General features: G+C 46.0%; 1 protein-coding gene across 2 annotated transcripts in view, besides 1 other annotated feature; it reads left to right on the top strand.

Annotated features, from left to right (window-relative positions):
• Positions 1-20,829, top strand: part of COL4A1 (collagen type IV alpha 1 chain) — a 158,195-nt gene that overhangs the window by 103,206 nt on the left and 34,160 nt on the right. The window contains exons 18-27 of one of the 2 annotated variants that reach the window (NM_001845.6): positions 345-386; positions 2,430-2,514; positions 3,063-3,098; positions 5,321-5,485; positions 8,834-8,929; positions 11,039-11,122; positions 11,668-11,738; positions 16,623-16,814; positions 17,399-17,567; positions 20,676-20,768. In NM_001845.6, the coding sequence (NP_001836.3) occupies positions 345-386; positions 2,430-2,514; positions 3,063-3,098; positions 5,321-5,485; positions 8,834-8,929; positions 11,039-11,122; positions 11,668-11,738; positions 16,623-16,814; positions 17,399-17,567; positions 20,676-20,768 (1,033 nt within the window). Of the gene's footprint in view, positions 1-344; positions 387-2,429; positions 2,515-3,062; positions 3,099-5,320; positions 5,486-8,833; positions 8,930-11,038; positions 11,123-11,667; positions 11,739-12,302; positions 13,212-16,622; positions 16,815-17,398; positions 17,568-20,675; positions 20,769-20,829 lie in introns of those variants that run through there. The other variant, NM_001303110.2, reaches the window with a different exon arrangement.
• Positions 8,353-9,552: an enhancer, noted in NCBI's record as "BRD4-independent group 4 enhancer chr13:110846747-110847946 (GRCh37/hg19 assembly coordinates)". NCBI's record gives its function as "activates an origin of replication core promoter dependent on BRD2, P300/CBP, MED14 and CDK7 cofactors, and independent of BRD4, by STARR-seq in HCT116 cells {active_cell/tissue: HCT116}" and the evidence as "EXISTENCE:reporter gene assay evidence [ECO:0000049][PMID:35650434]".

The following is a 20,829-nucleotide window of genomic DNA, read 5'->3' as shown; positions in this document are numbered from 1 at the left end:
AATTGAAAAACCCTGGTTGCCAGTTCCGCTCATCAATGATTCTGTTTTCCGAGGAAGTGTGCAGTTGATGGGACAAGTATCTGGGCTTTTGTAAGGAGAATAATTAGCCCCCAACTTATATTTTGCAGAGATCTTTATTTTCATGTGTCATGCGTGTGCAAAGCAAAATGAAATCTATTCATTTTTGTTGTAATCGTCACAGAATGAGAGATATTAAAGAGAGAAAAATAGTTTTAATTTACTGTAGGCACACTCTATTTTACCAGAAGAAATGTTTAATCTGCTTTCTGCAAGACAATCTTTATAGTAAGAATATGCAAGGAAAGTTATTTTTTCTTTTGTAGGGAGAAAAGGGTGAAGCAGGTCCTCCTGGCCCACCTGGAATTGTGAGTAAGAGTGCTGTCCCTGGGTCTGTGAGAGCGCTGGGGGAGGAAGGAGAGGACCCTGGGTCTGTGAGAGCACTGGGGGGAGGAAGGAGAGGACCCTGGGTCTGTGAGAGCGCTGGGAGAGGAAGGAGAGGAGATGCAGGGCACACACCCACAGCTGTCTCTAGAATTGCATTTGTTATGTAAAGTGGTTCATGCTACTTGAAATGATTTTCTAATTTGTTGTACGGAGTTTCGTGTTTATTATTTTTATTATATTTTGATAATTTCTGCACATCTTTAAATCACTGAAAATGAAAAGGTTTGCACATGAATGAGAATATTAGCAACATATTTGACTCCTTTTTTTTTTTGAAATGGAGTCTTGCTCTGTTGCCCAGGCTGGAGTGCAGTGGTGCGATCTTGGCTCACTGCAACCTCTGCCTCCTGGGTTCAAGTGATTCTCCCATCTCAGCCCCCCGTGTAGCTGTGATCGCAGGTGCCCGCCACCATGCCCAGCTAATTTTTGTATTTTTAGTAGAGACAGGGCCTGACTATGTTGGCCAAGCTGGTCTCGAACTCCTGATCTCAGGTGACCCACCCACCTTGGCCTCCCAAAGTTCTGGGATTACAGGCATGAGCCACTGTGCCTGGCCTTGACACCTTTTTTAAAAAAACGTGGTCCATTGAGGAAAATTTTTGTAAGAGAAACAGGTCATCTGTAATTTAACTATCCTGGTAAAACAATTTTTATTTTTGCAAATAACATTTTACTACTGGTCAACATACATATTTTGCATACTTGTCAGTGATGTGTGTGACATTTAAAAATGGGCATTATCATGTTTGCACATATCTTCATGGTGATCATTTTCAGTGTCCTATCAGAGAGTTGTGCTTTAATTTTTTTAGCCATTTTGCCCCCAGACTTTTTTGAAATAATGAAAATGTTACCGTTCTCTCCTTTGCTGCCTTCCTTGCAGTGCCACAGGTAATGCGTTCACACAGCCCATTTTATTTATAGATTTACATTGAAGGGTTTTACTTTCATTTTTTAACTGACAAAAATTGTATATATTTATGGTATACATCATGATGTTTTATATATATAACTTGTGGGATGACTAAGTCAAGCTATTTAACATTGGCACATTTTAATAATATCTATTAATTGATACAAAGGAATTATAGTTCAAAGGTAATATGCAAAAGTTGACTTTGCCGCTTGTCTTGAATTCCATTAATTTAGAATCAGGGCCAGTGAATTTTCTCCTTGTTAAGGAGCCGAAAGTGCCTCTTCTTGTCTTGCGACCTTAAGGAAGCGCCTACTTTTTTTTTTTTTTTTTTTAAGAGTGTTCCTCTCATAATACGTTGTAAAGTAAAACATTCTGTTTATGGCTAGTATGTACAATTAGAAATTATAAATCTAAGCCTCAAATTGATGTTACTCCATCTTTACCTCACTGGAGTGTTACAAAAGCTGCTGCCAGGCAAACTATTACAAAAGGAAGCAGAACCGCCTGCCTGGCAGGATCCTTTGCAGGGATGGTTGCAGCATGTTTATTCCATATGCTTTCGTTGTTGTTGCTGTTTGTTTCTTTGTTTGAGACAGAGTCTCACTCCGTCACCCAGGCCGGAGTGCAGTGGTGCCATCTCAGCTCAATGCAACCTCCACCTCCTGGGTTCGAGCGATTCTCCCGTCTCAGCCTCCCAAGTAGCTGGGATTACAGGCATATGCCACCACGCCCGACTAATTTTTGTATTTTTAGTAGAGTCGGGGTTTCACCATATTGACCAGGCTGGTCTCGAACTCCTGACCTTGTGATCCACCTGCCTCAGCCTCCCAAAGTGCTGGGATTACAGGCGTGAGCCACCGCACCGGCCTGTCCCATATGTTTTAGAGGCTTATCCCCTTCCTCCTTGTCCGCTACCATTGCTGCTACTTCACTTTCATATTTCTTGAAATAAAAACAAATATGTACATTTCTTCACTCATACTGCTTTACTATACAGGACTAGCCATTCCCATGCCACGGGATGATCACCTTTTCCTTCTCGATTCAGGTTATAGGCACAGGACCTTTGGGAGAAAAAGGAGAGAGGGGCTACCCTGGAACTCCGGGGCCAAGAGGAGAGCCAGGCCCAAAAGGTAGCTTTCTTGCCTTTTTCCCCCCTCCTCCTACTCCCCCTCCTTCTCTCCTCCTCCTCTTCCTCCTCCTCGTCCTCTTCCTCCTCCTCCTCCTGTTCCTCCTCCTCCTTCCTCCTCCCCCTCCTTCTCTTCCTCCGCCCCCTCCTTCTCTTCCTCCTCCCCCTCCTCCTCTTTCTCCTCTTCCTCCTCCTCCTCCTTCTCTCTCTCTCCCCACGCTTTCTATTTCTTCCCCTCTTTTTGTCTAGTTTTGACCTGTGTTCCTCCATATTTTGGAAGCATCTGCAGGCCTTGCAGGACTGTCTGTGACCAGGTCTCCTCCAAGTTCCTATTTCACTGTCACAACAGGCTTCAGGAGCCCTTCGCTGTAGCTTTGAGAGCAATGCATTTCCAGAGTGGGGGCTCGGGTGGTCTCCCGCTCTGTTTTCTACGTTCCCTTTGGCCATGGACACTTACCAATGCACCAAGCAAGGCTTTCAGTAGAGAAATAAGAAGTGTATACAAACGGGTGAACTGTTCTGTTTGATCCAACACTCTCTTTCTCTTTTCAGGTTTCCCAGGACTACCAGGCCAACCCGGACCTCCAGGTGAGACTCCTTAACTGATTTGTTATAGCATACTTGCACACCTTCTGTGCTGTTTATATTCTGAATATATAATTTATCACGAATGTTAGATATTTGCACACAATCGGTAGCAATCTTACGACATCTTTTCTAGTGATGAAAGCAGAGTAGACAAGTGCTTGTAGATAAGTATCTTGTCTTTTGTAAGTGACCACTTAGCATGTTAATGAACATGTACACCCTTATGTCTCTCCTGGGGATCCAGATCTATTCTGCCCAGCTCTGATGTAACCCCACCAGAGCCAGCCTGCCCCCCTCTTTTCCCACGGCTCCCACTGAGCAGGTCCTGTCTTTCCACAGAGCCCCGATTCTAGCACAGTCAGGCGCCTTCCTCCTCAGCGTCCTGACCACTTTCCCCTCTCTCTGGGATGTTTCCCAGCTGGAGATCAGACTCCAGGACAAAACCCCTTCCAGCTGCTGTGCCCAGCCCCAGCCTTGCCTCCCTGGACCCCGGGGCTCCTCAGGGTGAAGTCATTCTCCAGTCACTCCAGACGTGCCAACCTGTGTTTCCTGGCAGACTGCGCTTTGCAGAGGCTCGCTGTTGTCTCTGTCCATATGCGCAGATGCACGTGTGTCCACGTGTGTGCGTGTGCACCTGTGGTATTCTCCCAGGTCCCAGAGCTGACCCGATAAGCGTCTGATGGAAACGCTCACGTGCCCTAGCATTGGCACACAACGGAGTGTTCGCAGCCTTTACGCTTTTTGCTTTGTTTTTGATGTTTACATTTATTTTTGTTTTTATCCCCGTTTATTATTTTATATTTGTTTCCTTTCCAGCTGGTCTAAGTTCTTGCAGAGCCCCCTTTTTTCCTTTATTGGGAACAGACGACACCCCACACAGCCCACGCCTGGCTCAGGGCAGGGCCTTCGTCCACTCCCACTTTCTCTCTTTTCTGTAAAAACTCTGACTCTACCCTTAAAAGCATCCCTTTTGTCTCTTCTTAATTCTTGGATTCTCGGAAATGTGTGACTTCATGTCTCCTCACAGAAGCCTTGTTTACTGTCTACAGCCTTTTATCTAACCCTTAGTGGTCTCTTAACCCAGACGCTTGATAAAAAGCCATTGAAGTTGCTCTGGCTGGAGGAGTTACCCACGTCCCCCTCCCAAAGTCGCTGCGCTGCTCTCTGTCCAGTCCTGCCCTGGGCTCGCCTGTGGCCTTGACCATTGCCTCTGCCCGCCCCCAGCTCCCTGACCGTCCTCCTCACCCTGAGGGTCTGGTTGGCCTCGTGCCCGGGTAGTTCCTTCATTTTCCTCTCCATTAGACATGCTGCCCCTCATTCACCACTCAGGAAGGGCACACAGTATTTTGTGGAAGCCCACAGGGGCCGCCCCTCGGGGCTCTTGGCTGCCTTGGAGCACGTTGTGCTTGTGGCTTTTCTCCCCAGTGACAGGCTGGATGTCTCAGGCTCTGTGCCCCTTTGGTCAGCGCTCTTCCCTCTCCTCTCCATGCTGCTCTTCATTCCTGCCAAGTCTTCCTGCGTCCTGTTTCCCTCGACTGTCCTTTTTCTCACACTCTCCTCATCATAGCCTGATGCTGGGAGCAGAAGCTGGTGCGTCCCTCACAGAAGCAGCAGAGCTTTCTCCATGCAGCCTCCTGCACCACCACTCTCTCAAGCCCTGCGTCCGGCCTCAGCTCTCCCAGGGGCACATGGTCTTACCCTTACAGAGTTACAGTGGCTGAACCTGACCTGATATGTTCACACCTAATGGCTACTCTGACTTCAAACCCTTTTACAGAACCATCTTGTGTGTCCTTAGTTGTGATTTTCTGCTCTTTCTTCTAGATTGCCAACCCACTGACCATCCCTTTGCTCCAGGTCCACTTTAGCTTTGTTGAATGACATTTCTATGCCCTCATTGGCCAAGTAGAAATGCAGTGCACCCTCTACAGCCTTTTTAAAATATGTTGGGAATACTATTTGCACTGAGAGAAATTCACAGATTTTAATATCTACGTAATGAGTCCCTGTTCTTTGAAGTTAATTTGTAGGAAACATTTGACTGTCAGCATGAAATGGCAAGACACCTGCCAGCTTAATTTGGTTTTACATGTCTAAAGCAGTTCCCTTTTCAGTGATGGTCTGGTTGGATTTTTACCTTGAACAGAGTTAGGAGAATGAGTTTATGCTGTAGTTGCTAAGTGGCCCTGAGGTTACTGATGTGAGCTTCTGTCTGGTTGCAGGCCTCCCTGTACCTGGGCAGGCTGGTGCCCCTGGCTTCCCTGGTGAAAGAGGAGAAAAAGGTGACCGAGGATTTCCTGGTACATCTCTGCCAGGACCAAGTGGAAGAGATGGGCTCCCGGGTCCTCCTGGTTCCCCTGGGCCCCCTGGGCAGCCTGGCTACACAAGTGAGTTCCCTCAGAAATGGTTTAATGTGGGGTGCAAGCAGACACCAGGGTGCCGGGCAGACCCAGGTTGGGGGCTGTGATAGTCCCCCACAGCCAGAGTGTAATAGAAAGGCGTGGATTCTTCTAATCATCCATATTCCTCTAAGGGAATCTTCAGAGAATGAACCATGCTACAAAAAGCAATAGTTAAAATTTCAAAATAAAGCTGGTTTAACGGAGTAAATAACACGTTAACCACCTCTGAGACTCCTGGCATCTAAAGTTAAAAAGCAAAACTGTTGAGTTATGTAATTTTTATTGAAAACAGAATGCATTCTTCTTCATCTAGAGATACAAATGAATACTAGGACACACACACACACACACACACACACACACACACACACACCCCAGAAACAAGGAAGACAGGATTACATGGGTAAAGATTACATTAGTAAAGTCCAGAAAAGCCAGCTTTTATTCCAGAAAAGGTGAACATGTAACATGGAAGTCTTGACTCAATTAAGATGGCCGTGTGGTCCCAATACAATACCAAAGCAAATTCGAAGAAAATCTCCAAGGATTTAAGCCAACCTGTGCAATGGGAGTGTGTTCAGATACCTGGAGCCAGCCTTTGGAACCTGCTGGATCAAAACCAACGTGTGCTCTGTGGGGCCCCTGAAACACGAATCCTCTGTGGGGTTGATTGAGAAAGGATTCACAGGCTTCAAGTCCCAGCAAGATTTATTTGCTAGAATTCAAGCAAATCTTTACGAAAGGGAGTTCTCATGGATGAGGCCACTGTTGGGGGCTGGGCCAGGACTAGATGGAGCCATGGATTCCAGCCTGGCAGCTTCGATGGGGAATGTGATCTACATGAATTTGGGTAGGAGAAAGAACAGATCATGTGTGACTTTGGGGAACTTTTCTCCTCTGCTCTTGTGATTGTGTGAAACATGGGAAATGAAGATAAAATATTGCAGTCCTGGAGACACTCAATCCAGAGGCTCCTTTTCTCTGTGTGTCTGAGAGAAGGTTGTGAGCTCTGACCAAGGGGCCTTTGGGTTCCAGATTCATTCAGCGGGGAAGGGAGTGCCTGGGAGGCAGAGATCTAGCAGTGGTGACAAGACTCAACAGATCCTGCTGTCCTGGAGCAAGTATTCCATGGGGCTGACAGGGGTTACCCAAGACAAGGGAATTCTCATGAATGCAGGAGATGATAAGTCCAGGGATAAACTTAAGCAGGAGAGTCAACAGAGGGTTCTGGGGTGGGGGGTGGGCAGGGGATTGTGGTTTTAAGCAGAGTGATTTACAAAGACATGAAGGGGGTGAGGGAGCCAATGGTGGGGAAATCTGGGAAAAGGACATTCTTTTGGATGTTCGTAATTTTGCAAGTGATGAAATATAAACACACGTCATGTAAAAATATGAACTTTACACTCTTGTTAATTGAATGGGATGTGTTAGCTGAGCACATTGTAATATTTACTATTCCAGGTTTTCTAGGTGGCCTTTTTAGTCCACGTAAATTAAGTAATTCTCAATCACAGAGTATCGAGTAATAATTTAGAAATGAGATTTGTACTAAGATTTATAATGTATGTTAAAGAGGCTACATCTTAAAGCCATTGCTACCTCAGGACTTATCGATAGAGCATTAACCACACAATGCAGCCATTTGTGCATGTAAGTTCTGCCACTGCATTCTTGTCTCAAGTGGGTACAGCCAGCTCTAAACCATCTGTGGCTGCAGATACCCTTGATGAGAAGGCGTTGTAAAATGTAAACTCTAGATTTGCACTTTAGAACTCCTCAGAAATAATCACTGCATAAAATGAATTTAAATGGACTTTGGTGAGGATGTACTATTTTTTTTTTGTTTGTTTGTTTTTTGTTTTTTGTTTTTTTGTCAGGGATTTGAAGGGATTCTGGTTGAGCTGAAGCAGGCAGGAGTTATGCTCTGGAAAAGGAGTATAACAGTTACATGTCTCTCAATATTCTTGAGCATACATTTCTAGAGTCAAGGAATTAGTATACCCTAGGCTCACAGGGATGAGAGATGTGGGTTCTTTCAGTGAAGTAATTTAGGGGCTGCTCTTTGAAGCATAAACATGGAGTCCACTTTGTTTAAGACGATGGTGCCAGCTGCACCAATGTCGAAGGGCTAACGAGGAGCCAGGCAGGACCAGAGTCACCAGGAGCAGGTCCCTAGCAGTGGCTGTGGGGGACCCATGGTGACCCCACTTGGGCTTTCTTGCCTCCTGTGCTTTGTGGGGAGAAACTCAGGGAAAGACACATAAGCACATAAGCAACAAGCAAAGCAAAAGCACCTCCCCCATAGTTCCTACACAGCGGAAGCTAACTTGTTCTGCTGAGCTCTAAACCAAGTCATCAAACAAGGTGTGGGATCTTTTTAGGCATTCTGGTTCTAGCTGGGGTGGGCGAGCTGGAGAGTTGACCTTGGTTAATATATTCAAGCCCGAGGGAGGGCCCCACAGCCCCACTCCACACCCTGGGGCCCTTCTATAGTCTGGGACTCAGGGCGTCCAGGTGACAGCTGAACAGAGACTGCCCATGACTTTGTCATTAGGTGAAGACCCTGTAAGGGAGAGGGGAGGGCCTTCAGTGCTGGTGCATGAGTGTTAGGGTTATGCCTGGGCAGGGATGCTGGATACCAAGTTGTTCACTGTGTCTTTTTTCTTCAAGGATCTTGGGGAAGGAAATATAAACTCCATCTCAGTGTGTATCCAAATCATAAAACAATAAACAATACTGATATTTTTTACTAGAACCTAGGACAGATGGTGTGTACATTACTGCAGTTTATTTTTATGCCTCTTTACATAAATGATGCTCAGAATTGAATGTGAACAATTTGAGGCATTTCCTCGTGGGCAGTCTGCAGCTCTAAAATAATGATTAGTTTTGCTGTAAATTGGGTTAGAGGGGGAAAAAAGGAAGAAAATTTTTCTAGTCTCAGCTTTGACTAGATGCATGACCCTGGACAAATCACTTACCTTTCTTGAGCCTCAGTTTCTTCATTTGTAAAATAAGGGTGATGGTAGGCACTTCGCAAGATGAAATGAAATAGTATACAGGACAGGGCTGATGCACCTACAGATACTTCAGAATTTGTGAAATAGAAATGTTGGCAGTGATGGCTTGGGATGGTGAGTGGGTGGTGGGTGGTGTGTGGTGATTATGTTTTGCAAGTGGTGGATAGCCTAAGATGATTTTGAAACAAACTAAAGCTGAATTTCTAACACTTGTCAAATAGCCTAAAATATTTTGGTTTTATAATAGAGGTTGAGTTAGGAGAGGGTAAAAACACCTAGCTATGATCCTATAACTCTGACAACTCAATTTCAGATGGAATTGTGGAATGTCAGCCCGGACCTCCAGGTGACCAGGGTCCTCCTGGAATTCCAGGGCAGCCAGGATTTATAGGCGAAATTGGAGAGAAAGGTAAGAAATTTTGATTTTTTTAAAATGGTGGTTGTGTCTTTGCGTATGATTTTTTCCCACATACTTACCGGCTTTGGAGCCAAGTGGGGGTGGGCAGAGTTAGGGCGTAGGTTCCTTTTATTTGGAACCCTCTTCACAATCTCTTCCTAGAATAAGCATCTTCCGGAACTTAGTTGATGATCTGGGTGGGAAAGGTGGAGACAGCCCTGAAAGTCAGAGTTTTGCCCCTTCTCCCTTTCCGAGGACCGTGAAGTCAGTCTTGCTACAGTGGGCGTGGTCAGCAGATAAAACTCAGACTGATTTGTTACCGCAATCTTTCCATTCAGTGTTTGAGAAGAGACTTCTGTTACCAAAGAATGCTCTTCCCTCCTTCAAGCCAAGTCAAAAATCTGCACATGGAATGCTCACCAATTCTTCCAGTGGTGTTTGCATCATCAGTGTGAGCAAATCTACCGTTGATGCATTAACCAGCTTCACTCTGGGCTCTCGGTTCCATCTTTAATCTTTCCAAGTGTTTGCCTTACTACCCGCACAGGACACTTATTTATCTCTTCCGCCATCCTAGACACAGAGGTGGATTATCACTGCATCAACAGTCCTGCCTTAGAGGGGAATAAGCAATGGATATTCTGATATTTATATGCCTGTTAGTAACCCGAGAGTAGGACAAATAGGAGGCTGTCCCTCAAATCAACCCCACTGTGTACCATTTCTGCCTGTGAACTGTAAACATGTTTTAGTCTTCAAATGTGTAAGACAGAAATGATGCATGGAAAAGTTTCAGCCAGCATCTTAGAATTCTGACAGCCACATACACTGCAGGACCTGAAATGGAAGCGATCTTGGGCGTCATCACAGGGGTGCCACTGATCTGAGTCAGTGTACAGTTTGGGTTTTAATGAGTCTGTCTGCTCTAGTTACCAGGCGCTCAGTACTTTGTGAGATGGGCTCTTCCATTTTATGACAGATCCAGCGTCCAGAGGTTCTTCACACTGCAATCTTAGCTATCCATCCCCCAGATCCTAGGAGAAGCATCTGTCTTCTCGAGTCTTCCCATTCCTCTTTCGACTCCATCGTCTGCTGGGAATGCACCTTGTCTCCCCACCCACCTGAAGCCTTGCGAACAGACACACCCACGAATGCCCCAGTGCCCAGAACTTAGCTGGGTTCTCAGCTGTGTTGTACCGTGCCCCTTCCACTGATGGGCTCCTGCTCTGCCTCCTGAAAGAGCTCGAAATGAAACCATGTGCCTGCTCCCACACTTCGGGGGCATGGCCTACCTGCACTGGCCCTGTTTTACTTCTGACTGAGGGGCATCCCAGGGCAGAGTGGGCAATAGCAGTGCCCGTGTGCGGCTGCCAGCCAGGGCAGGGATGGGAAGAACATGGCCACGCCGCCTCGATGTCCCTGGCATGGGCTTCTCTGCGAGCACTTTTTGCTCTGTATTATGCCTGATTTGTGCCTAGAAACCAGACATTTCAATATTTAAGACACAGGAATAGCTAAGACAATGTAAGGTCTCTGAGCTTGGCTTGAAAATCAAGACTTCAGATGTTAGAATTTCCAAAGAAGAGCATCTCCTCTCCTTTTTCAGGGCTGCAGTCTCTCTCCTCTTCTGTCCTGGATCACATATGTGTTCTTGCTTTTGTGGCTTCTTATTCCCAAGTCCACCAACCAGTGAAGTCCATGAACTGGACTAAGCACTCAACCAAAGAGAAAGGGGATGGGTAGTTTTCACATTACAGACAAATTACAAAAGTCAAGTCTTTTCAGGCTGATAGGCACAGTTGAATTTCTGGACCACTTTTTACTGAGGCAGCCCTGTCTTTTCGCTGGGAGAAGAACTTGGATCTTTAAGCAGTGCGTCTGTGGTCACACGTGACGCGTGCTGGGGGCAGTGGGCCCGTTCATTGACAGACAGGGACGTGCGTTTGACTGCAGTTTCCACCCATTAGCAGAGAGCTGTCTGGAGGAGCCATTGCCACTGAGCAAACCTAAGTTTGGATGTAATATGTTAGTGACAGCCTTGCCTTTTTCTGTTCTCTCAGTGCACTGCGGAGACTTCTGGTCACATGTTACACGTAAGCACCTTTGTGTTTTCTTTTTTAGGTCAAAAAGGAGAGAGTTGCCTCATCTGTGATATAGACGGATATCGGGGGCCTCCCGGGCCACAGGGACCCCCGGGAGAAATAGGTAAGACCCACATGTGAAAAGGACCAGGTCAGAGTTTGCTTTGGTGTGTTGGCATCTTTCCTGTGAAAGGGATTTCACTCCATAGAAGGCCTGATTTTCGGCAGCCAATCCTAAAGCATAATCAGAAGAATGTTGGGCCCCACTTCCAGGATTTGTCCACATTGCTGGGAATGATCAAGATGGCCTCATAAAGATTTCCTAATAAAAGACAGCAGCATAACAGTTCCCTCCATGCCACAGATTCTGTTATCTCACAAGCAGTTAATGGAATTCATGTTTTTCCTTTAAGTGGTCCCTGGGTGTGTGGGCAGGGGGGCAGGTGTGGGGTGCTGGAAGCATTCCTGCTTCCGGGTGTACATGTGCGTCGGGTCACCTATTCCCTTTCTGAGTCCGTCTTGGGCATTTTAGTTATTACTCTCTTTGGATTATCCAAGCAATCATCCACTTCCTATACAGATTTTTATGCTTTTGAGTCTTAAGAAAAGGTTTTGAGAAGTGTCTCATGAATGCTGTGTTGCTGTCTTTTTCCCTCTCTCTCACGAAAGGTTTCCCAGGGCAGCCAGGGGCCAAGGGCGACAGAGGTTTGCCTGGCAGAGATGGTGTTGCAGGAGTGCCAGTAAGTAAACCTGTCTGAGTTCATGTACATATCAGAAGTTGCCACCAAGCACGTGGACAGAGTTGTGTCGTTTTGCATTTGCAAGCATGGCTTCTGCCTTGTGTGGGAGCTGGTAAGTGTTGCTGTGTCGAGCCCTCTGGAGTGACTCCATGCGGCCCTTGTCTCAGGAGAATGAGCAAGACTGTTACCCACAGAGCCCAAATCACAGCTGCCTTTCTTCTCACCTGGTCAACATTTTTTCGGCTGCTGCCGACCTGTGTTCAGGTGTGGCTGAATGGGAGTGTGTCCTTCCCTCAGGGTCTCTGGGATTTCTGGAAACAAATGGTGTCACAGGAGCCACCCCCACACAGCCACAGTGCAGAGCCGAAGTGCCGTCTTTCTGTGTTACCAGTGCTGGTAACATCATATCAGATCATCTAAAAGCTGGTTAGTCAGTAGGTTCAGCATCAATAGTTTCTATGAAAAGATCAAGGAAAGCAGATCTGTTTGCCTCTGAGGATTAGAAATATGTTTTTATTCTTCTTCTTACAGTTGAAAATTTCTGTTACAACATCTATTGTGCAGTTGCTTTTTCAAATCCATAAATGAAATATCCGGATCACATTGACATGAAACCTTTCAATGGAACAAAATACCAGCTTCTTAGCTTTTGTAGTTTGTTTTAAAAGAATCCACTAAATAGAAGAGCATAATAATAATCTTGAATTTTGAAGGACATTATTTTCTTGCATATAATGACTTCTGTTTCTGAAGTTTTGAAATCTCAAGGCATTGTTCCTCTCGTATTTTCTTTGTTCTTCTGAGCTTTGCGAGCATGGACTGGTTTCCACAATTCCTTTCATTCCTTTTTTTCTTTTTGTAAGATATTGAAAGTCAAATTTCAGAATTATTCATTTCTGATGTAGCCCTTCAAATTTTTTAATTTTTAAAGATATTGCTGGAAGCTTCTACAAAAGAAAACCAGGGCAAAAGCGAGTTGAAATAGCAATGACCCAGCTGGAATTCAGCAATCATTTTCTGCTTTTGAAGTTAGATCTTGGGCTTTTGCTCTCCAGAACTTCCCTGGTGCCTGGGGAGCTGAGTTAGAAGTTGCAATTGTTTAAGATATATCTAAATAAATTAGAAGTTCAAATAACTGGGTAGCCCTGACTGTAGTGGGGATCAAAGACAGAAGAACTTTGAAGGAAGCAGAAAAGGACGTTTTTAACCTCTATGCACCGCTTCATCTCCTGGGCTTTCCTGGTGGACTTCCTGCCTCAACTCTGGCTGAAACTCAGTCTAGACATATCTAATAAAAGACGGAAAAAGAGGAAAGAGGTGAGAAAGAAGGAATATTGAGGAAAGATCATAATATAGAAGAAAAGAAAGAAAACATACAACCCCAATTCTACTCCTTATGCCTTCATCAGGAGCTCCTTTCTTTCCGGAGTTGGAAAAAGTCTCTAAAAATAAATTTATGGGTAAATAATTCAATTGAGAAGTTAGTAATTTTCCTTTTATTGGAAGCTGTATTTGAAGCTCCGTGATTTAACTCGCTCAGAAATGTGGTTCTCTTATTTTGAATTTGGCTAGAGGCTAAAAGAGATATCCATAAACGAGCACACAGGAGAGTAGATTAAAATGTGAAATGCTCTGATTTTTCATTTGACTTAGATAGCATTTCTGTGACATTTCCTTTTGAAAGACAAGTATTTGATTTTGGGGAAAGAATAATGAATCACAAAAGGCCGACTCCCCGAGCGGATTGATGATGCCCAGGTTGGTCTGAGCAGGTTTCATGGTTCCTGGTCACTGGGAGGATGAATTGAAACCAACACTCCCTGACTTTTTCCACAGTGGCACCACTTTTTAGAGGCAGACAGCGTAGGTGTCAGATTTTCTCCAATTAATGCAGCCAATGCTAAATTTTCCAGGCAGTAGTTGAATCCTCAGCATTTATTTTCAGGGAGACGGATCAAAAGACCTTTGAACTACTTAGAATCAAGAAGTTCTGTGGCAAAGAAAGCACACGAGATGTCCTAGGGTCACCAATGTCACTGTTTTAAAAACCCAGATTTCTCCCGTAAATAGAATGATGGCAGGCAAGGTCATCATTGTTAAAATAAAAAATTATATTTTCTCACCCTAAGATCACAGTATTGGGGAGCTTTATATTTTTAGGCTGTGAGTAATCACCATAAAATAATATAATGATGTTTGCAGGTTGAGAAAAATATACATTGGTTATAATTTCTTACACTAGTATTTTTTAATGGATGAATATTGCCAGTTCAGTGTATACTTCCTCCAGTATCTCTTTTGTTCTGGATGCCAAGGATACAAAGATAGGAAACCTTGGTCCTACCCTCAGAGCCCTGAAATACTAGTGGAGAGACAGCTCTGCAAATAGACTGTCCTAATGAAGCAAAGTGATTTACAGAATGAGGACCAGAAGGCAGCCCGAGCCCACAAGAAAGGCCGCATAGAGGAGGCTAATTTTAGCTGGGATTGAAGGATGCATAGGAGCTAATATTAACTCAAGAGAAACAGTTTAAAAATCCCAAAACACCTTTCAAGTAAATAACAAATTTTCCATGACTCTCTGCTACAATTTCTGGCAGGTGGCTCATAGAAATAATTTGTTGCCTTTCCTGGGACCCAGAGCAAATAGACTGGGTGTGTTCCACCTTTCCTGAGTAGATCCAAGTGAAGTGTCCCAGGTCATAAGGGGCATTAGAGTGCGGGGCCAGCTCAGACCACTGGTAGTCGTCCATGAGAAGCTTCTGCCATGACAGGAGCGTGCTACGTCAGTGCCATCTGATCTGGCAGCTGCTGGCCAGTGGTGGCTGTTGAGTCTTTGAAATGCAGTCACTGCTGGGTACGGTGGCTCACGCCTGAAATCCCAGCACTTTGGGAGGCCGAGGCGGGCGGATCACCTGAGGTCGGGAGTTCGAGACCGGCCTGACCAACATGGAGAAACCCCGTCTCCACTAAAAATACAAAATTAACTGGGTGTGGTGGCGTATGCCTATAATCCCAGCTGCTCGGAAGGCTGAGGCAGGAGAATCTCTTGAACCTGAGAGGCGGAGGTTGCGGTGAGCCGAGATGGCGCCATTGCACTCCAGCCTGGGCAACAAGAGCGAAAATCTGTCTCAACAAAACAAAACAAGCAAAAAACAAAACAAAACAAAAAACAAAAACAAATGTAGTCACTGTAATGGAGGAACTGCATTTTTTGTGTTATTTAATTTAACTTTCCAAGTCATATTGAACAGTGCAGAGAGTTGCTGCCGACTCTCTCCATACTTCTGGAAGCCTGCTTGATGGGATTGGGCCAGGAGTCAGTGCATCGTGGTTGGTATGGAAGATGGAATGGGAGGCAGAGCAGCTTCTCCCGTTCCTTAGCCTGCGATGTTTCAGCTGTTAGGAAGCAATTCAGGCAGGAAAGCAAGTCTGCTCCATTTAGGTTAGTCCCACATTTGCTGTTTGTTTGACTTTGAGCAGGACACAGAAGTCCTTCAAGCCCCACCTCTCCCCCTGTGTAATGGGCAGATTTTACTCGCTCATCCCTAACTCTCCTTAGCACTCCAGAGGCACAGGCATAAGGTACAAGTTTTGCAGCTGGAAATGCATAAATGTGGATCCCAGTTCCAGCACTTTCTGGCTGAGTAGTCTTGGATCTATCAGCTCACTTCTTTGAGTATCAGCTTCTTCCTCTGCTATGTCCTGGTTTCCATGTTTTCCTTGCAGAGCTGCAATAAGGGTCAGAGATGCTATAGAATGGGTCATAGTGCCTAGCAGGCTGGTAACCAATGCTAGCCATATTTTCAGTCTAAAGATTGGGCAAATGTTGGTCTGTCCTTGGTTGACCAACTTCTTCCTTTGAGAAGCACATAGCATCTGTACACACAGAAGCGTGTGCATGTGAGGGATTCATACATATCTAAGAACCTTCTGCAAGGAAGTTTATGAAAAAAAATTCACATTAAGTGAATTGTGCCAGAGTTAAAATTCTGCCAAGTCGACAGGGAGTCTGAAGATGCCTTTCTCAGGCCTAAGTGAACAAGTCAATGGGACAATTGTTGGAAACATTTTCTGTTTTTCTTGTGAAACCCAAGTCTCAGGATGCTGGAGGAGAAGCCATTGGTGGGTATGGGTGTTCTTTGCAGTTTTAACTTTCCAGGAACTGAGCAACGTTCTAGTGTGAGTCTCTTGGGAAAGTCAATTTGACTCTGCTGACTCAACATAACTCATTTTAGAGCTGGCCCAGTGCCCACTCCCAGAGTTTCATCTCTCACTGGTGCCCTGGAAGTCCTTATCTCTTCTGGAATTCTGGGCATGAGCATAAAAGGAAGCCTGTTCAATATGCACAGGAGTATTCAGCACTGGCCAGGAGGTGCTGACGGGTAGCTCAGTGGGCCCAGAAGCTGGAGAAAAGGCTTCTGCGTGCTGCCGGTGGGGCTGAGGCAGCAGGCAGAGCTGAGGACAGCGATTGTTCTTTGAGTCTGTCTGTTACTGAAGCTGCACAATGAACCACACATCAATCAGAACCTTCTGACAGGTGCTGTGTGTTCCTATGAATGTTGAGCAGTTGTTAGGGTAAGAAAACTCCTGGAGGAGAGCTGGGTGCCCAAAGCCACACTATAACTCCCTCTGCCCCATCCAGGTCTTTGCTTGAAATATCTAATTAAGATAAGTGTTTTTAAGAAAAACACAAGAAGTGCAGCAGACCAGGGCTTTGTCACAGAGCTCCTGGCTTGCATCTAGAAAATCAATGATGAGGCATGAATGCATGACCATTTTCAAGAAGGTGGCTTCTTGATTCTATGGTTGCTTGTGTTACAGTCACACTGGTGTGCTTCATGGATGGGTTCTTCTGTGGATCACAAGGCTTTGTTCTTACAGGGCCCTCAAGGTACACCAGGGCTGATAGGCCAGCCAGGAGCCAAGGGGGAGCCTGGTGAGTTTTATTTCGACTTGCGGCTCAAAGGTGACAAAGGAGACCCAGGCTTTCCAGGACAGCCCGGCATGCCAGGGAGAGCGGGTTCTCCTGGAAGAGATGGCCATCCGGGTCTTCCTGGCCCCAAGGGCTCGCCGGTATGTTTATCTCCAGACTTTGAATGTGCATTTTACAGTGTGGATCTGCAAAGCATTGAGAAATGAGTAATTTGAATCATATTGATGTATTTCTATCTCCTTGATGATGGCACAAATGAACTTGTTTCATGATTCATGGTTCATGGAACAACTTAAGTCTATAAACCTAGGCATTGCCAGTTATTATTGACAAATAATTAGGTGATAACAGATCAGTGTCTTCTGATGCATTTGGGGGAACTGAACAGATGTGTTTGTGTATCTTTTTGCTTTGGATGGGAGGTGAAATCTAAAGTTAATAGTATTCATGTCATTGTTTTCAAAAGATTCCAGGTATCAACATCTCATTCTCTAAAGTATCTCCCTAAGTAGATGAGGGAGGAAGAATGCTCAGCTTAGGGAGAAGAATGCTGGTTTCACTTATTAACTACAAGGTGGCCCTCCTGGGAGGGTAGATGAAGTAAATAAATAGTGTGAGCCAGTTAACTCTAGTACTTATTGACCACAAATGTCAGAAGAATGCGATAAGGACAGGGTGTTGGTGTGTCTCTGATAACGGTGTCTTTTTCTTCTTCTCACATCAGGGTTCTGTAGGATTGAAAGGAGAGCGTGGCCCCCCTGGAGGAGTTGGATTCCCAGGCAGTCGTGGTGACACCGGCCCCCCTGGGCCTCCAGGATATGGTCCTGCTGGTCCCATTGGTGACAAAGGACAAGCAGGCTTTCCTGGAGGCCCTGGATCCCCAGGCCTGCCAGGTGAGGCCTGAGAAACTCGTGATGCAGCATGAAGTTGTAAACGGAGGTTAGGGCAGGCACCTCGGGTGCACACAGAGGCCTGGGGTTCGCATAGGCCAGGGCGCACACTTGGCTTTGATTCTTCCAGGAATTGGGGCAGGACCTGGGCAAGCCTTCAGCCTTTTGTGCCTCCCTTTCCTCATGTATGTGATGGGCCAGGTAATATGCAGGTGGAGAACTTGGGTTTACAGTCCTCATAAGTAAGTACACAGCACGCACCAGCTAAAGTCAGCCTTTGTATAGAAGTCACACCGAGGTCAAGTCATTTTCCTCTCCTTACCCATTTGGCTTTCCCCGATGAGCAGCCCATTTTGGCTTCTGTGCATCCCGAGTGGTGTGATCTCCACCTCTTCACAGTCGGCAGACGCCTGTGAATGGATTTAGAGGTCCTACAGCGCGATGACGATTTCATTCCATGGTGGTTTTAGTTGTCTGCTGTTTTTGGAGTGAATCACGCGCCAAGCTCTATGCTGAGCATTGACAACACATGGTCAAAACCACAGACGTGGTCCCTGCCCTCCTGCACAGCCTGTTCAGAGGTTTTCCAGAGAACCTGTAGCAGGGATGAGTGTGGGCTCCCTCGTCGTTCTCCTCTCCCACGACTTGCTTATTTTCAGGGCCAGCGGGAGGGGGCTGTGGCGCTAGGCCTTGCACACAGCAGGTGCTAATAGTTTATTATCTGACTGCGATTCCCAGTAGACATGGAGCACGCCTGTTCTTCCCTAGAAAATCCCGGAATGAGAAGAGGAGAGGCTAGGAATGCCTTGTGTGTAGATGAGGGAAGTAAATGCGCGTTGCTAGGAAACATTCAAAAGTTGTAAAAGTGAGTGAAAGGACTTAAGGTGATTAAAAATATCTAACTAGTAAACCTTAAAAAACATAGTTATTTATAAAGTAGCTGGGGCCAGGTGCGGTGGCTCACGCCTGTAATCCCAGCACTTTGGGAGGCAGAGGCTGGCAGATCACAAGGTCAGACATTGGAGACCAGCCTGGCCAATATGGTGAAACCCCATCTCTACTAAAAATACAAAAGTTAGCTGGGCATGGTGGCAGGCACCTATAGTCCCAGCTACTCTGGAGGCTGAGGCAGGAGAATCGCTTGAACCCGGGAGGCAGAGGTTGTAGAGAGCCAAGATCTCGCCACTGCACTCCAGCCTGGGTGACAGAGTGAGACTCCGTCTCAAAAATAAATAAATAAATAAATAAATAAAGTAGCTGGATATTTGAAATACCCAACAATAACCACGTTGGAGCAATTACAGCATGCCGTTCTGGCTCGCAAGTGTGCTGATTATGTCAATAACCATATTGAGCCTGTTTTATGAATTCCTATTCCCATTAGGGACTAATATTTCCTTATTAATATACAGTGTATAGGCTGGGCACGCTGGCTCATGCCTGTAATCCCAGCACTTTGGGAGGCCAAGGTGGGCAGATCACCTGAGGTCAGGAGCTCGAGGCCTGCCTGGCCAACATGGTGAAACCCTGGCATCTGTAATCCCAGCTACTTGGGAGGCTGAGGCAGGAGAATTGCTTGAATCCAGGAGGCGGAGGTTGCAATGAGCTGAGATCGTGCCATTGCGTTCCAGCCTGGATGACAGAGCAAGACACTGTCTCAAAAACAAACAAACAAACAAACAAAACACACACACACACACACACACAGTCCAGTTCCTAAGCATTCCAGTATGGGAAATGTCAGCCAGTGTTTGATGGAAGCCCAGGTGTAGTGTGCTAACATAACTGTTACTCTTATCCTTCTCCCTGTTGGTATAATCAGTGAGTACTTAGCATCAAGTTCTGACTCTGTTGATGGTTGTTCTTTGTTTAGAAGCGTCCCAGAAATGTCTCTTTTATGACTCCATTAGAGGTAGGGGATACCGGGTTTGATGGAGGAGGACTTCGGTGAGCCAGGCATAGGGACTTCCGATCACTTTCCCTTGGGTCTCTTGATTCCACAATCAACAAATCAAGTGCTGTCTTTGTGCTTGTGACATCTGCAGATTTCCAGAGCTGTCGAAGGGAATTAGCTTTTCTTTTGGCGAGAAACTACCATCAGAGAAACCAACTGGAGTACTCACAAATATACCCTAGCAGATGGGGAAGAAGGCTTCTGGGGAGGGGGAACAGGGCTGTTGATCCTCTCTCCCCACAGCTGTAGGGCTCCTTGGCCATCCAGAGCCAATTAGCTTCGAGATTAGAAAACAGATGTCTTTGATCTGCCAGAGCTGTGTGTAACTGTGGTAATCATAAAAGCCTGGTGCCCAGGGTGTGTGTCACCAACAGCAGGCATTTCCTAGGGTCGTTCAGTTGGCGTTTCCCACAGTCTGTAGCTAAAGAATGTGCTGGCTGTTCTAGGGAGGCCCCACATAGCTTGAACTCTTACGAGGTGTACGAAGATTCAGTGCGTGCATTCTTGGAGGGGAAGCCTTTGGTCCTTTCTTAACAGCGAAACCCTGACACTCCGGTGGCTCTCCTAGGCATGAGTGCCCAGAGGGCCGGGGCTGTGCTTCCTGGCTTGGGAGGAAGGATGGTTTTGCCTGTGTTGCTCAAGTGAGCGCAGAGCTCTCCAGCTGCACCATTACAGATAATGGATCGTTCGTAATCACCCGCGGATCATGTTGTTTGGATAATTTCCCACCAAACGACCGTAATTTAGGTCAATCTCAAAGCAACTTAGACTTTGGTAAATTGAGAGAGAACAGCAAAAGTATTTTGACTTTTTGAGACCGGCTCACTAAGAAATCACCTAGAGCCACCTCACATGTTGTTGTTGTAGATTTTTCAGCTTCTTGTGACTCTTAATTGTGGACTCTTAAGGGATTCTTGTGTCCAACAAACATCTTGGTCATTTTGGACATGCAAACGCATGGGGAGAAGCGTAGCTCTCTGTGAAAGATCCTAGAAACACCAAGGGAAGAAGTGGAGAACACAGGCAGAGGCTCTGCTCTCCGGGCACTCGTGGTGCTGGGTAGGATGTGGCGTGCAGCCCACCCACTGCGTGTCCTCCCTGTGTTCCGTGTGGTCCTCATTCCTTCATCGTTTGTCTTTGCTCTTTTTTTCCTCTAGGTCCAAAGGGTGAACCAGGAAAAATTGTTCCTTTACCAGGCCCCCCTGGAGCAGAAGGACTGCCGGGGTCCCCAGGCTTCCCAGGTCCCCAAGGTACGATTGGAATTCCAGCTCACCGGGATACCACGAGAGTTTCCTCACGTTTTTCTCACGC

Source organism: Homo sapiens, chromosome 13 (assembly GCF_000001405.40).
Source record: "Homo sapiens chromosome 13, GRCh38.p14 Primary Assembly".
In the NCBI taxonomy this organism is placed as follows: Eukaryota; Metazoa; Chordata; class Mammalia; order Primates; family Hominidae; genus Homo; species Homo sapiens.
This window is presented reverse-complemented; position numbering and strand designations above follow the sequence as displayed.